The sequence below is a fragment of the Homo sapiens genome, chromosome 6 (genome assembly GCF_000001405.40).
Source record: "Homo sapiens chromosome 6, GRCh38.p14 Primary Assembly".
In the NCBI taxonomy this organism is placed as follows: domain Eukaryota; kingdom Metazoa; phylum Chordata; class Mammalia; order Primates; family Hominidae; genus Homo; species Homo sapiens.
Genome location: NC_000006.12, coordinates 133,556,807 through 133,572,016, shown reverse-complemented (window position 1 = coordinate 133,572,016; position 15,210 = coordinate 133,556,807). Strand labels below are relative to the sequence as shown.

General features: G+C 38.5%; 1 long non-coding RNA gene across 1 annotated transcript in view; it reads left to right on the top strand.

The window, feature by feature from the left end:
- The window catches only part of TARID (TCF21 antisense RNA inducing promoter demethylation), a 386,755-nt gene that overhangs the window by 316,990 nt on the left and 54,555 nt on the right, over positions 1–15,210 (top strand). The window contains exon 5 of the long non-coding RNA NR_109982.1: positions 3,769–3,827. This is a non-coding gene — a long non-coding RNA (TCF21 antisense RNA inducing promoter demethylation). The remainder of the gene's footprint in view (positions 1–3,768; positions 3,828–15,210) is intronic.

Here is a 15,210-nt window from a genome sequence, read left to right as displayed (position 1 = left end):
TTTTCCCGTGTTGTCTAGGTTCAGGCAATGTCACAGTGTGTGATGTGTGTGGCTCACCCTGTGAGCATGATATTTTACCATTCTCATGGTGTAAGGGCTTACTTTATCAGTCTTCTCTAAGTGTTTTAAACACAATAAACCAACTATGTCTTCACATCCCTTCGGGAAAGTCAATCTTTCTTACTCATAAGGAGAAGGAACAGAAGAAAGATTTTTCAAGATAAAAATCTTATTAAGGCAACCCTCTTAGTAGAAACAAAAAAAAAAAAACCCAACAAGATGAATCAAGGAGCCATTCATTACAATAATAGAATCTTTCATTTACGAAGCATTTTACAGGTTTCAAAGTACTTTTACATTATTAGTTTAGCATTTCCAAACTCATTTGGCCCCAGGAAACTAATAATATCAAATAAGGGAATAATAGAAAGATATGATATATAAAGTATGTTTAGATTAATGTAAGTAGCAAAAAATTATCTCACAGATTAAATGGTTTCCAAAAAACAATCAAAATTAAATTTTTCATAAACTATACAGAATTCTTATGAAACTTAATTCAGGAAACACATTAGATATTTACAATTGTGTGAGATAGCCACAGTAAGTTTTATGATGTCCACTATAGAAAAGACGTTATTTTTCTCAGTTACTAATACTTTCAAATGATTATATAAAACTGTTGTGACAAAAAGTAATGGAGAACATGATATAAAATATTGAATTCATCAAATTCTTCTAATGTTCCTTTCCAGACTTTTTCTATACATGTTATTTTTTACATGCATGACACATTATCAATTCCTATTTTTCATTCAGCAAATACTATGTCAGAAACATTTTTCTAATTGCTTTGTTCATAATTCTCATTTTATTGGTTATATAGTTTTACAGGATATTGATAAGCTAAAATTTAATTGTTGCCTTTCCAACTGTTAGGCATTTAAATTATGTTCAGAGAATATCAGAGAATAGTCACCTGCATACAACTATTTCCTTTCAATTTAAAATAATACCGAACAGCAAGCAATATGAGCACGGGGATGGTGTGTCACTTTACGCTGGTCATTGCATTTCCAGTCCCTAAATCGGTGAATTGGAGGTGCTCAGTTATTACTTCTGGATTTTCCGAATGAATGGAATCCTATATTTTGAACTATGCTGCAAAATTGTTTTACAAAATGACTTGCTTTAATATTTATTAAAACTAGCAATGTATGAATATACTAGTTTCATCATGTGCTCATTAAAACTATATATTTTATTGATTTAAAAATACTTCATTATTTTTATATTTTTCTTATATAGATTGTAATTTGCATTTCTTTGGTAATGAAGTTGAATATATTTTCATGGATGTTGTCTAATAATATTTGCTCTATTTCTAATTGTTGGTTCAGATGAGGGAAATAAGATTCTGGGATGTTGGATGATAATCAAGAAATATGCACTTAAATGAAATTAGTCAAGCATCAAATCTCTTTCTGATACATTAAAATATGATCTCTACCATGACACCTCAAGCATAGTTAATTTTTTAAGCAAGTGTTTTGATTAATTTAGCTCACAATGTGTATATATGCGAGACTCTCAAGTTAAAATATTTATGGCTTGTCCTCTGTAGAAATTATAAATACATTATTCTTAAATCCCAGATTTTCATAGATTTAATTTAGTTGAATTGTCAGTGATTTTGCTCATGTTAGTAATAACCAGTAATTGCTGACTATTTTAATTCAATAAATTATTTTCTAAAATTTTAAAATGTTTTAAAATTACTTAAAATGTTTTGAGACTTAAGAGGTTTTTATTTATAGGTTAGAATCCCTCCCACTACTTATATATTTTGAGTCAGTTGTATTTTGCAAGTCACAGAGTAATTTCTGAATATTAAATATATCTTCACAGAAAACACAAACAACTTTGGGTGCTGGGGAAGAAGAATTAGCTTCTTTTAGAAGGATTTTATGGACATTGGGGCTAATAACTTTCTGCAAGTAGGTTTAAAGAGGGCTAGAATTGCAAAAATGTATGGCAAATAACGCTTTAACGTCTACCCTAAAGTTAGTTTACTTCATCATTGCTGAGATATTGAGGAAAAATTATAGTTTCATTAATAAGTTGGATGTTGCTTCTAAGTGCTTAATTTCTAGTACTTTTTGACAAATGTATTTTATGTGAAGCATATTTAAATCTGGTGTACTAGAGTTAGGGCAATAAGGCCAGGTTTAGCTAGAGGGAGCGCTGAGATTGTCTCATCGAGGGGAGCTGGTTTTAAACACCTTCCTCAGGATGATGCATGCTCCGTGGCCCTCATATGACACACCCTGCTGGGGTGACTACAAAGAGCTGAGTCACCAAAGCTCCGATCCTCACTTCTCAGTGAAACTCCTGTCAGTTGCAGTCAGGAATGATGGAATACTATCTGTAATGTTAATATTTGAGACACTGATCATAGGTTTTCGAGGGGGTCATAATTTGTACAAATATACACATGCATACACACGTATGTATACTTGTTTTCATATGGCAATATACGTGTCTCCTGTTATTCTTTTCCTGAGAACTAATGTTTTTTCTAGATGTTTGTGACAACATCACACGTATCAAGTAGGTAGTGCCGAAAAGGAGCCTGTTCCCAGCCAGGAACCGGCCACAGTAACAAAGCGGGCTGCCGTTTTCGAAAGCTTTAAGCACCTAATCTCCAGAGTGTTGTGATTGTACTCCCCCTCTTGTTTAGGCTTGGAATCATCAGTATTCATGCAGTTCGCAGAAATTCTGTGTAAAATACAATATTAATATTAAAGTATAATACATTATACCACGGCTTCTCTACAAGGCATGCTGCTTCTACTTTATTTCGTGGAATAGTTCTTAGGTTAATTTGTCAGTTGAGATTTGAGACTCTGAAAAAGAAAGATGGGGTTTTAGAGAGAATCCGAACAGTTAAAATACATCGTCCTCTGGTGTCCTTCTGAGGTATTGCCAGTGGGAAGACTTTCAGAAACCTGAATAATGAAGGGAAGGAGGAAAGAAAAGGATTGATGGCGTTTTTTCCTTTAACTGAATAAATTTTAACAATAATTAGCTTATTTCTAGGGAAGGACCTGGTGAGGGGTTCTTATGAGGAATAAAGAAACGTCTTTATTCTTATCTCACTCCTTAGGTTTTTGTTGTTGTTTTGAGACGGAGTTTCGCTCTGTTGCCCAAGCTGGAGTGCCATGCGCGATCTCGGCTCACAGTAACCTCCGCTTCCCAGGTTTAAGCGATTCTCCTGCCTCAGTCTTCCCAGTAGCTGGGATTACAGGCGTGTGCCACCACGCCCAGCTAAATTTTTTTTTTTTTTTTTTTTTTGTATTTTTAGTAGAGACAGGGTTTCACCATGTTGGCCAGACTAATCTCGAACTCCTGGCCTCATGTGATCCGCATGCCTCTGTCTCCCAATGTGCTGGGATTACAGGTGTGAGCCACCGCTCCCAGCGTAGATTTTGTTGTTATGGTTCGTGTTACTGTTGTTTTTCCTCAGCCTTGAGCCAGTTATTTTCTGCTCAAAACGTTCGACCCTATATCTTTTGGCCTCAGAGAGCAGTAAGTGCAATCAGGGTGTAATCGAACAGATATCTGTGGTGCTCCTTCTATGTGTCATGTACTGTGTTAGGTACTAAAAGAAAGATGGAGGGGATACTTGGAATTTTCTCACTTGCTCTCAAGTCTTTTCTGACTATCCAGGTTTTGCTGATTATTTAATCAAACTTGTTTTTTTCACAGACAACACGAACCTGCAAGTAATCATCCGACCAACTTCCTCTACTGCTTGGGAATTGCAGGCAAGTTCAAATTCTTCCCCCAAATTTCTCAGACTCCTCGGAGTTGTCTCAAATCTACTTGAGAATCGTTCTGTATTTCCACGTAGCCCATCTCCAGAAGCTACTGAAACACATGCATCAAAAGTCACTGCAAGTGGGAAAAGGGTCCCTGAATTCCTTCTGCGCCCCGCGCTGCTACATAAAGGGTCGTGTTGAGCCCTCGGTGGCAGAGATTTCAATCTGTTGTTTTAAAACTTATTTTATTTTCTATTTGCTTAGAGACTTATAGATGAGTCAACTTTCCTCTGCAGAAACTGAATCCTTGGTAGGATGAGGCATTCACTTAAATGAGGATCAGAAACTGGAAGAGGGGGTGGGAAAAGTCTGGAATGTTGGGTACTGTTCAGAAAACGCTGGTTGGGGAGAATGAAGAATTATGTGAAGCAGAGAGCAAGGAAGCATCATGAGGGCTCTGGACATTGCAACAGGAATGAGAGGATGCAAAATGCAGGGAGAGTGGTCAGTGCTGGAAAAGGTGTAACTATGCCAAGTGTAAGCTCTGGGTGTGGCAGTGTCATGGGGTGGCATCTCCCTCCCTCTACCCCAAGGGTTAAGTGGCCAGCAGTATCCCCAGGCCTGGGCCTGGTATTAGGGCATAGTTGTAATGGACAAAGTAATAACCAGAGGCAGTGCCCTATGCAGCCTATTATTTAGCATTAAAGGATCCAGGACTCAGTTATTAAATCCAAATAGAGAAAACCAAAAGGGACTGGGATCTGAAGCAAAGTGAATCAGAGACTGAAAGAGCAGCTGCCCTAATAAATGCAAGTATGGAAGAAATTCACAGAGCCAAGTTTCCACACCCACCGTGTTTTATGTTTGTTTGTTTGTTGTTTGGTTTGGCATGCTCATGGCCTATGCCACTGTATAGGAAACTGACATCCTGCAAATGAAAATCATATCCCCAATTCAAGTTGGTTCAGAGCCCAAAGATCCCCAGAACACTGGGTTGAATGATGCAGTAAAGTATTTTGAAAATTAGTCTGCTTTTCTCCACCTGCACATCCTCTCCCTCTTTGTAGCTTGGAGACCCATACACAATTCCAGAATCCTACAATTATTATTTTAATTAATTTGAGATGAACTAGTTCACAATACATTCTCATTATGTTCTCTGAAATCACTTCTGTTTATGTCTCTACTATAGCCCTTGTTGGAGTTTTGTTAGTTGTTTTTGTATCTACTGTTTTCATTTGTTATTAGAGCCCCTTAAAAGCAGAGACCATGTCTTCTTATTTATTTTTGTATTATTAGTACTTAGCACAGGATGTGCCTGTGGTGTTTTTTAAAGGTGATTTATCAATATTTTGCTGAGTAAATGGATGAATTGATGAGTGATTGAGGTACATTGTAATAAATGAATTGTAGATAAACTGAGACCAGGTCAATTCATTTATATTCACTTACATGGCTAGCCTTTAAGTTTCTGTTTGAGATGGGCTGTCAGGAGCTTAAACAAATTAAAAATAAGAAGAAACAATACCCCAATTAGGAAAATGTTCCATAGTGTTTAGTTTAGTATACAAAATGGAATTAAAAAGAGGCACCCTGGAATATTATAACATGTAACTCAAGCTATAAGTTCATTTTGTCCATAAGTCTCAGGTGTGCTATATTTTGGAGGAAAATCTAGGTTTGGTGGTCAGCAGTGAGAATGATGACTGATTTCTGATGGTGGGTTATCTAGGTGGGTGAAGTAGAAAATCATAGATGCCACTTCATGGCTTTTTGGGAGAGCCATTTTTATCATTTTTATTTTAAAAATGATAATTACTCTAAAACTTTTAGACCTCAAGATATATTTCTGATTAGGCACAAGTAACAATTGTAATATAGTAAAACTCAAATTAAATACCTGTAGTTTTGTCTTTGCTTCTTTCTTCTCCCCTCCATCCCCCAGCAGAATTGAATATTTTTAGATTGTTTATCTGAGTGCTGGTGTCTGATCTTGGTAAACTTGTTGACTGTGCTTACTCTGTGGGTACAATTATTTGAACAGAATCAATTCTAGTTTTCTAAATGGGCAGTTTTACTTCCAAAAATTATAAACCCTTTGCCTACTGGGATTTGTTACAATTATCTAAGTTGGTTTACTTCTTACAAAAATTATAATCCTGTGTTTCTGAGACCAATATTTTATTAATACCTGAGGAATAAGATATATTCTCATTCAGCCCTTTCCTAGTGATGATTCTTATCCTTCCTAATCTTCTTTGGGGAGTATGAAAGGAATCACCCAAGGTTGTTCCTTTTATTGCTGTTTTGAAATGTTTAGCTCTGTGCCCAGAAATTGACTATGCACAAGGTATAGGAGTAGAATATACACTCTTGATAACCTGGCTCCTTGGTCATGTGAACTGTATCTTGATATTAATACAGGAGCTACCAACAGGTTAAAAGGTACCTTAAAAATTGAGATAACCCTTTTGAGAAAAAAATATTGAACAGTTTTTCCCACTTCTTTTTCTTAAAACATTATTTGCTATGTTTTTAAAAGTTACCTAATTCAATAGTCACCAAGATTTCAGTATAATGACCCAGTTTCAAGTTTTCTAATATCAAAGAACAATTATAAACATTCATAAGGTAGAGTAAATAGTACCATATAACCTTGATATAACCATTACTCAGATTCAAAAACTATCAATAGTTTATATTTGCTTGCCTATCACTTTTTCCTTTTTTTTTTGCTGAAATATTTGAAAGCAAATCTTATATTATTTCACCTCTACATAACAATGTTTTAACATAACCACAATGACATCATAACACTTAACAAAATTAAAAATTGTTCTTGGTCCCATATAATATTCAATTAATAACTGATTTCCCGGATTGTATCAAAATATGGTTTTTACTGTTTTTTGTAGAGGTTGCACACATCCAGTGTTGAAAACATAGCCGAATTCCCACATAATACACATTGATTAGGAACATGAAGATATATTACCTATGTGAACTTGGTAAAACTTTTAAATATAATTGTGTTTTGCTATTCTCCATATCATCAACATATATTTAGAAAACAATAGTGCATATGTGTGGTATTTTTCAGATTACACACAGTGTTAGATGACCATATGTATTTGTAGTATTTGTAATAATTTTGCCACCCCTCTTTAGGCTGTGAGTCTTTGATCTAGACTAGGTATGTTAAATGGTTAGAGAAAATGCTAATTTAGATAAAGATTTGTATTTATTTTGGGATTTGTTATGTTGTTACTGTATTTTGTTACTGGTTTCATTAAGAATTATAAACTATCCTCTCTTGGTGGAATTTTAGTTATAAGCCTGGATTATTATTCTAGTGATTTTCTAAGGCTTAATGCTATGGAATACTTAATGCATGAGATAATTTTGGATCTTTTGGCATACTAAAATCTGAGAGCTTCTTTATACTTGACTTTGCACTATTCCATTTTTATAATACTTGTTAGTTACTCATATATTCCTAAATTGTGAATTTTACATTATTCAAAAGTTATTTTTATAATTAAAATGATGCTTTATGAATTAAATTCTAAAAATTATAATCTTAAGGAACTGAAACTTACTCATTGTAGAACACTTAGAAACTACAGAAAAGGAAGAAGATGATCTCTTATGATCTGGTGACCTACAGAGAGCCTGTTAATATTTTGAAGTACAGCCTTCCAGTTTTCCCTGTTATAATTTGGCTCATTGGGCCTATACAACTAAATATTCTACTTTTTCCGGTTTCATTAACTATGCTTAGAGATGTGGTTTTTACAGATGCCATGATATTTCACCATATTTCACTTAAACATTATGTCTTTGCTGAGCCTATAGTTATTTATAACTATTATAACTAAACCAATAATTATTGTTCTATGATTTCATCTAATTATTTTTAAAAATAATTTAAACTTATTTAGTAATTATTAACTAGTGACAGCTCTTTTAAACTAACTGTACTGGATGCTTTTTTGTTGTTGTTTACTTTGACCTCCAAATCGCGAGAATCTGTTCTATGCCTCTCAAGGTCCTAGACACGTGACATCTGCTCATTCCTTTTTCTCACCACCACCCTTTACATCTTGTTGCATTATCCCCCACCTTATTACCCCAAGGAACTTTAAGTTCTCACTCAATCAAGCTGTCCCCAAAATATTTCCAACTCTTATTTTCTAACTGAGATGCAGTCCTATCATTGTATATCCCGAACAACGCAAAATGTTCAGGAGAACAAAATGGACTTTCAGTGACCAGAATCTATTTTTAAAGGGCAGTTATAGTTACGCAGGCAATTTTCCTTCATTAAACAAATAACTATCTAATAATTTGCCCTGAACATTTTCCAGGACTATCTGTGGAGTTGCTAAGAGGTAAGGCAAAGAAATATATCAGATACTTAGCACAATGCTTGGCACTTATAGTGCTTAATAAAAGATGATAATGATGATGATGATGATGATGATGATGGATACATCTCCTTCATGAATATATTGGATTGACCCTTGTGAAATTGGCATTTTCATAAACCAGTGGTATATCAAATTATATTCCATATAAGATGTTAAATTATGTTCAACACATTTTGAGAAAAACCTCTGAGTTGAAAAACAGACGAAACTTACTCAAAAAAAAATATACTCCACTGAGAAAGCTCTATGGGCTCTATCAATTATTTTACTACTACTAATTATTACTAGTATTATATTTGTATACATGTTCTTCAACTGCAAAACTTGAGTCTAGTATACACAAATCCCTCCTGTTGTGAATAATCTGGAAAAAATAGGAGCGAGAGGGTTAAAATTTTAGATTGGGGAAATAAAAGACAAACCAGGAAGGGACTTAGAAAGACAAAAAACGAAGGCATGATAAAATAAACCAGATCTTGGCCCAGCGCAGTGGCTCATGCTTGTAATCCCAGCACTTTTTGGAAGGCCGAGGTGGGTGGATCACGAGGTCAAGAGATCAAGACCATCCTGGCCAACATGGTGAAACCCCATCTCTACTAAAAATACTAAAATTAGCTGTGTGGCGCCTGTAATGCCAGCTACTCAGGAGACTGAGGCAGGAGAATCGCTTGAACCCGGGAGGCAGAGGTTGCAGTGAGCCGAGATCGTGCCACTGCACTCCAGCGTGGCAACAGCACGAGACTCCATCTCAAAAAACCCCCAAAAAACAAGCCGGGCACAGTGGCTCACGCCTGTAATCCCAGCACTTTGGGAGGCTGAGGCGGGCAGATCACCTAAGGTCGGGAGTTCGAGACCAGCCTGATTAACATGGAGAAACCCCATCTCTACTAAAAACACAAAATTAGCCGGGCATGGTGGCACATGCCTGTAATCCCAGTTACTTGGGAGGCGGAGGCAGGAGAATCGCTTGAATCTGGAAGGCAGAGGTTGTGGTGAGCTGAGATCGCACCATTGCACTCCAGTCTGGGCAACAAGAGCAAAACTCCGTCTCAAAAAAAAAAAAAAAACCAAAAAAACAAAAATAGATCTTTTTCAGAATGACACCTGGGCAGCTTAAGAAGCAACTAAAAACTTTGACATAAAATTATCATGAGCTGAGCTAGATAATAAATTTGGACCCTTACCTTACACCATAGAAAAGTATGTATTCACAATGGGTTAAATAGATTAATGGCCTAAAACCAAGACCTAAAACTATAAAACTCCTAGAAGAAAACATAAAAGAAAAGCTTAAGGACATTGTATTTGACAATGATTTCTTGAATATGACATCAAAAGCACAGGCAACAGAACTAAAAATAGACAAATGGGACTACATGAAACTTAAAACTTCTGCACAACAAAGAAAACACTCATCAGAGTGAAAAACAACCCTTGGAATGGAAGAATATATTTTCAAATCATATATCTGATAAGAGATTATTATTCAGAATATGTGAGGAAATTCCACAGTAACAACAACAAATATAACTCAGTTAAAATATGGGCAAAGAACTTAAATAGACATTTGTCTAAGAAGATATATAAATGGCCAACCAGTATAAGAAAAGATACTGACTGCAATGGTTAATACTGAGTGTCAACTTGATTAGATTGAAGGATGCAAAATATTGATCCTGGGTGTGTCTGTGAGGGTATTGTCAAAGGAGATTATCATTTGAGTCAGTGGGCTGGGAAAGGCAGACCCACCCTTCATCTGGGTGGCCACCATCTAATCAGCTGCCAAAGTGGCCAGAATATAAAGCAGGCAGAAAAACATGAAAAGACTAGACTGGTTTCGCTTCCAAGCCTACATCTTTCTCCCAAGCTAGATGCTTCCTGCCCTCGAAGATTGGACTCCATGTTCTTCAGTTTGGGACTCAGACTGACTCTCCTTGCTCCTCAGCTTGCAGATGGCCTGTTGTGGAACCTTGTGATTGTGTGAGTTAATTCTTAATAAACTCTCCTTTACATATACATATACATATACATATATGTATATATATACCTATATATATACACACACCTATATATATACACACACCTATATATATATATATATACACCTATATATATATATATATAAAAATTAGTTCTGTCCCTCTATAGAGGGACATATATATATACACACACACACACACACACACATATATATACACATATATATATAATTAGTTCTGTCCCTCTATAGAGCCCCGACGCCCTGACCAATATACATTTTGGTATCAGGAGTGTTTCTAGAGGAACAGAATATTAAGAATGGGGTTATTTCACTGGTTTTGGGGTTTCTGGAGTTGGCTGCTTAATATGATTAGACCAAAAAATGCTAAGGACTCTACTTCTAATAGTATGAAAACACTGATAGTGCTTGGCGGAAACTGTTTAGACAGTTATGCAAAGTAAATGCATTTAATACTCCTGATTCACCACTCATGAGAGGCAAGGAGTTTAATGACTCTATACATAATACCTTTGACCATATGTGGAGAACCAAGGAACATAATGAAGTTGATTGGTTGCTCCTAAGTTCAGTGGACAAAGTGATGAAAGAAAATGATGAACTCAGGGATTCTGCTTCAGAAGCAGATATTGAGCCTCAAATCTGCTAAGATTGCCCTAAGTGAGAGTCTTAGCTCCTGTAGAGAAAGAGCTGAAATTGGGGAAAAACAGACACAGACTCTTATGTGAGTGGCTGACCTGCAACAAAAGATGCATGCACAGCCTTGCCAGGTGTCCACTGTTAAAGTGAGGGCACTGATTGGAAAGGAATGGGACCCTGTAACTTGGAATAGGGACGTGTGGGAGGACCCTGATGAAGCTGGGGACACTGAGTTTGTAAACTCTGATGAACCTTTTTTGCCAGAAGAAACAGCTTCCCTATCCCAAGTAGTGGCAACATCCCCTCCCTGATCCATGCTGCCATCAGCCTTTCCACCTTTGTCTAAGGAGATAAACCCTGTGCTGCTTGAGGCAAGAGTGATGGCCTCCCCTGAGGCAGTTGTCAGGCAAGATGATGTTGATTCTCCTCAGGAGCCACCACAAACACTCCTGTTTCCTTCTAGACTAAAGTCCTGGTGGGACCCTAGAGGTAAGGTTCAAAGTGTGACCCATGAGGAGGTGTGCTACACTCAAAAAGAATTGCTTGAGTTTTCTAATTTATATGAGCAGAAATTTGGAGAACAGGCATGGGAATGGATATTAAGGGTGTGGGATAAGGATAGAAGGAACATAAGAGTTGGATCAGGCTGAATTTATTGATTTGGGCCCAATAAGTATGGATTCTGCATTTAATGTTGCAGCTTGGGGAGTTACAGAAAGGTTCTAATAGTTTATTTGCTTTGTTAGCTGCAATATGGATTAAAAGATGGCCCACTGTGACCCAGCTGGAAATGCCTGATCTCCCTTGGTTTAATGTAGAGAAAGGGATCCAAACACTTAAGGAGATCGGGATGGTGGAGTGGATTAGTCACTTTAGACCTACTTATCCCAGCTGGGAGGGTGCAGAAGATATACTCTTGACCAATGCCCTGTGAAATAGATTTGTGAGGGCAGTGCCTGCATCTTTGAAGAGCTTTGTGGGTGCTCTGCTCTGTATGTCAGATCTAACTGTGAGAACCACAGTCACTCAACTACAAAATTTAAATACAATAGGAATAATTGGATCATGAGGTGGCAGGGGCCAACTGGTGGAACTCAACCATCAAAGGCAAGGTGGGCATAGCTACCATCATGGACTGCAGAGGCAAAGCAGCAATCAGAATAATCTGACTCGTGTAGAGCTCTGGCATTGACAAATTAATCATGGTGTTACTATAAGTGAAATTAATAGGAAGTTTACTGCATTCCTACTTAATTTATATAAGCAGAAAACTTCTAGGTCGCATAGACAAAAGACTAATTTGAATTATAAAAACAGGTCATCATGGCCCCTTAATCAATTTCCAGACTTGAGCCAGTTTACAGACCCAGAGCCCCTTGAATGAAGGGGAGGCTGAGTCCCCTTGAAGAAGGAACCCACTATATTACTGACAATTTATGCAGTGAATCTTTCTCCCATCCATTCCCAAGGAGACCTTTGGCTCTTTCCCAGGGCATCTGTGCACTGGGAAAAGGGAAATGATCAAACATTTTGGGGACTACTGGACACTGGCACTGAGCTAACATTGATTCCAGGGGACCCAAAACATCATTATGGTATCCAGTTAAAGTAGAGGCTTATAGAGGACAGGTAATTAATGGAGTTTTATCTCAAGTCTGACTTACAATGGCTTCAGTGGGTCCCTGGACTCATCCTGTGGTCATTTCCCTAGGGCCAGAATGCATGATTGGCATAGACATACTTAGCTGCTGGCAGAATCCCCACATTGGCTCTCTGACTGGTAGGGTGAGGGCTATTGTGGTGGGAAAGGCCAAATGGAAGCCATTAGAGCTGCCTGTACCTAGAAGAATAGTAAATCAAAAACAATATCACATCCCTGGAGGGACTGTGGAGATCAGTGCCACCATCAAGGACTTGAAAGACGCAGAGGTGGTGATTCCCACCACATCTCCATTCAACTCTCCCATTTGGCCTGTGCAGAAGACAGATCAATCTTGGAGAATGACAGTGGATTATTATAAGCTTAACCAAGTGGTGACTCCAGTTGCAGCTGCTGTACCAGATGTGGTTTCATTGCTTGAGCAAATTAACACATCTCCTGTTACCTGGTATGCAGCCATTGATTTGGCAAATGGCATTTTCTCCATTTCTGACCATAAGGCCCACCAGAAGCAATTTGCCTTCAGCTGGCAAGGCCAGCAATATACTGTTGGGAACAGGCCCCCCAAAATCTGGCCATGAACTGGCCCCAAAACTGGCCATAAACAAAATCTCTGCAGCACTGTGACATGATGGCCATAATGCCCATGCTGGAATGTTGTGGGTTTACTGGAATGAGGGCAAGGAACACCTGGCCCGCCCAGGGAGGAAAACCGCTTAAAGGCATTCTTAAACCACAAACAACAGCATGAGTGATCTGTGCCTTAAGGACATGCTCCTGCTGCAGATAACTAGCCCAACCCATCCCTCTATTTCGGCCAATCCCTTTGTTTCCCATAAGGGATACTTTTAGTTAATCTAATATCTGTAGAAACAATGCTAATGACTGGCTTGCTGTTAATAAATACGTGAGTAAATCTCTGTTCGGGGCTCTCAGCTTTGAAGGCTGTGAGACCCCTGATTTCCCACCTCACACCTCTATATTTCTGTGTGTGGGTCTTTAATTCCTCTAGCGCCGCTGGCTTAGGGTCCCCTCGACCAAGCTGGTCTCGACAATATACCTTTACTGTCCTACCTCAGGGGTATATCAATTCTACAGCTTTGTGTCATAATCCTATTTGGAGAGACCTTGATTGTCTTTCACTTCCAGAAGATATCACACTGGTCCATTACATTGATGACTGATTGGATCCAGTGAGCCAGAAATAGCAAACACACTGGACTTACCGGCGAGACATTTGTGTGTCAGAGGATGGGAAATAAATCCTACTAAAAATTCAGGGAACTTCTACCTTAGTAAAACTTCTAGGGGTCTAGTGGTGTGGGGCCTGTCAAGATATTCTTTCTAAGGTGAAGGATAAGTTGCTGCATTTGGCCCCTCGAACAACCAAGAAAGAGGCCCAATGTCTAGTGGGCCTATTTGGATTTTTGAGGCAACACATTCCTCATTTTGGGTGTGCAACTTCAGCCCATTTATCGAGTGACCCGAAAGGCTGCTAGTTTTGAGTGGGGTCCAGAACAGGAGAAGGCTCTGCCACAGGTCCAGACTGCTATGCAAGCTGCCCTGCCACTTGGGCCATATGACTTAGCAGATGCAATGGTGCTTGAAGTGTCAGTGGCAGATAGGAATGCTGTTTGGAGCCTTTGGCAGGTCCCCATAGGTGAATTACAGAGGAGGCCTCTAGGATTTTGGACCAAGGCCCTGCCGTCTTCTGCTGATAACTACTTTCCTTTTGAAAGACAGCTCTTCGTCTGTTACCAGGGCTTTGGTGGAAACGGAACATTTGACTATGGGTCATCAAGTCACCATGTGACCTGAACTGCCTATCATAAGCTGGATGCTTTCTGACCCGTCTAGCCATTATGTGGGTTGTGCACAGCGGTATTCCTTCATCAAATGGAAGTGGTATATAGGCGATCCGGCTCGAGCAGGTCCTGAAGGCACAAGTAAGTTACACGAGGAAATGCCTCAAATGCTCATGGTCTCCACTCCTTCCACCCTGCCTTCTCTTCCCCAACCTGCACCGATGACCTCATGGAGAGTTCCCTATGATCAGTTGACAGAGGAAGAGAAGAGTAGGGCCTGGTTCACAGATGGTTCTGCACAATATGTAGGCACCACCCAAAAGTGGACAGCTGCAGCAATACAGCCCCTTTCTAGGACATCCCTGAAGGACAGCAGTGAAGGGAAATCTTCCCAGTGGGCAGAACTTCAAGAAGTGCACCTGGTAGTGCACTTTGCATAGAAGGAGAAATGGCCAAATATGCCTACATCTTTCTCCCATGCTGGATGCTTCCTGCCCTCAAACATCGGACTCCACGTTCTTCAGTTTTGGGACTCCGTTTGGCTCTCCTTGCTCCTCAGCTTGCAGACAGCCTATTGTGGGGCCTTGTGATCATGTGTTAATACTTAATAAACTTCCCTTTATATATATATATCTCCTATTATTTCTGTCCCTCTAGGGAACCCTAATACACTCACCATCAGTAATTATTAGAGAAATGCAAATCAAAACCACTATGAGATATCACCTCACACTCATTAGCATGGCCACTATCAAAAGAACAGGAAAATAGCATGCTGGCAAGGATGAGGAGAAATTGGAACTTTTTGTTGCACCATCATGGGAATGTAAAATGGTGCCGTTGCTATAGAAAGCAG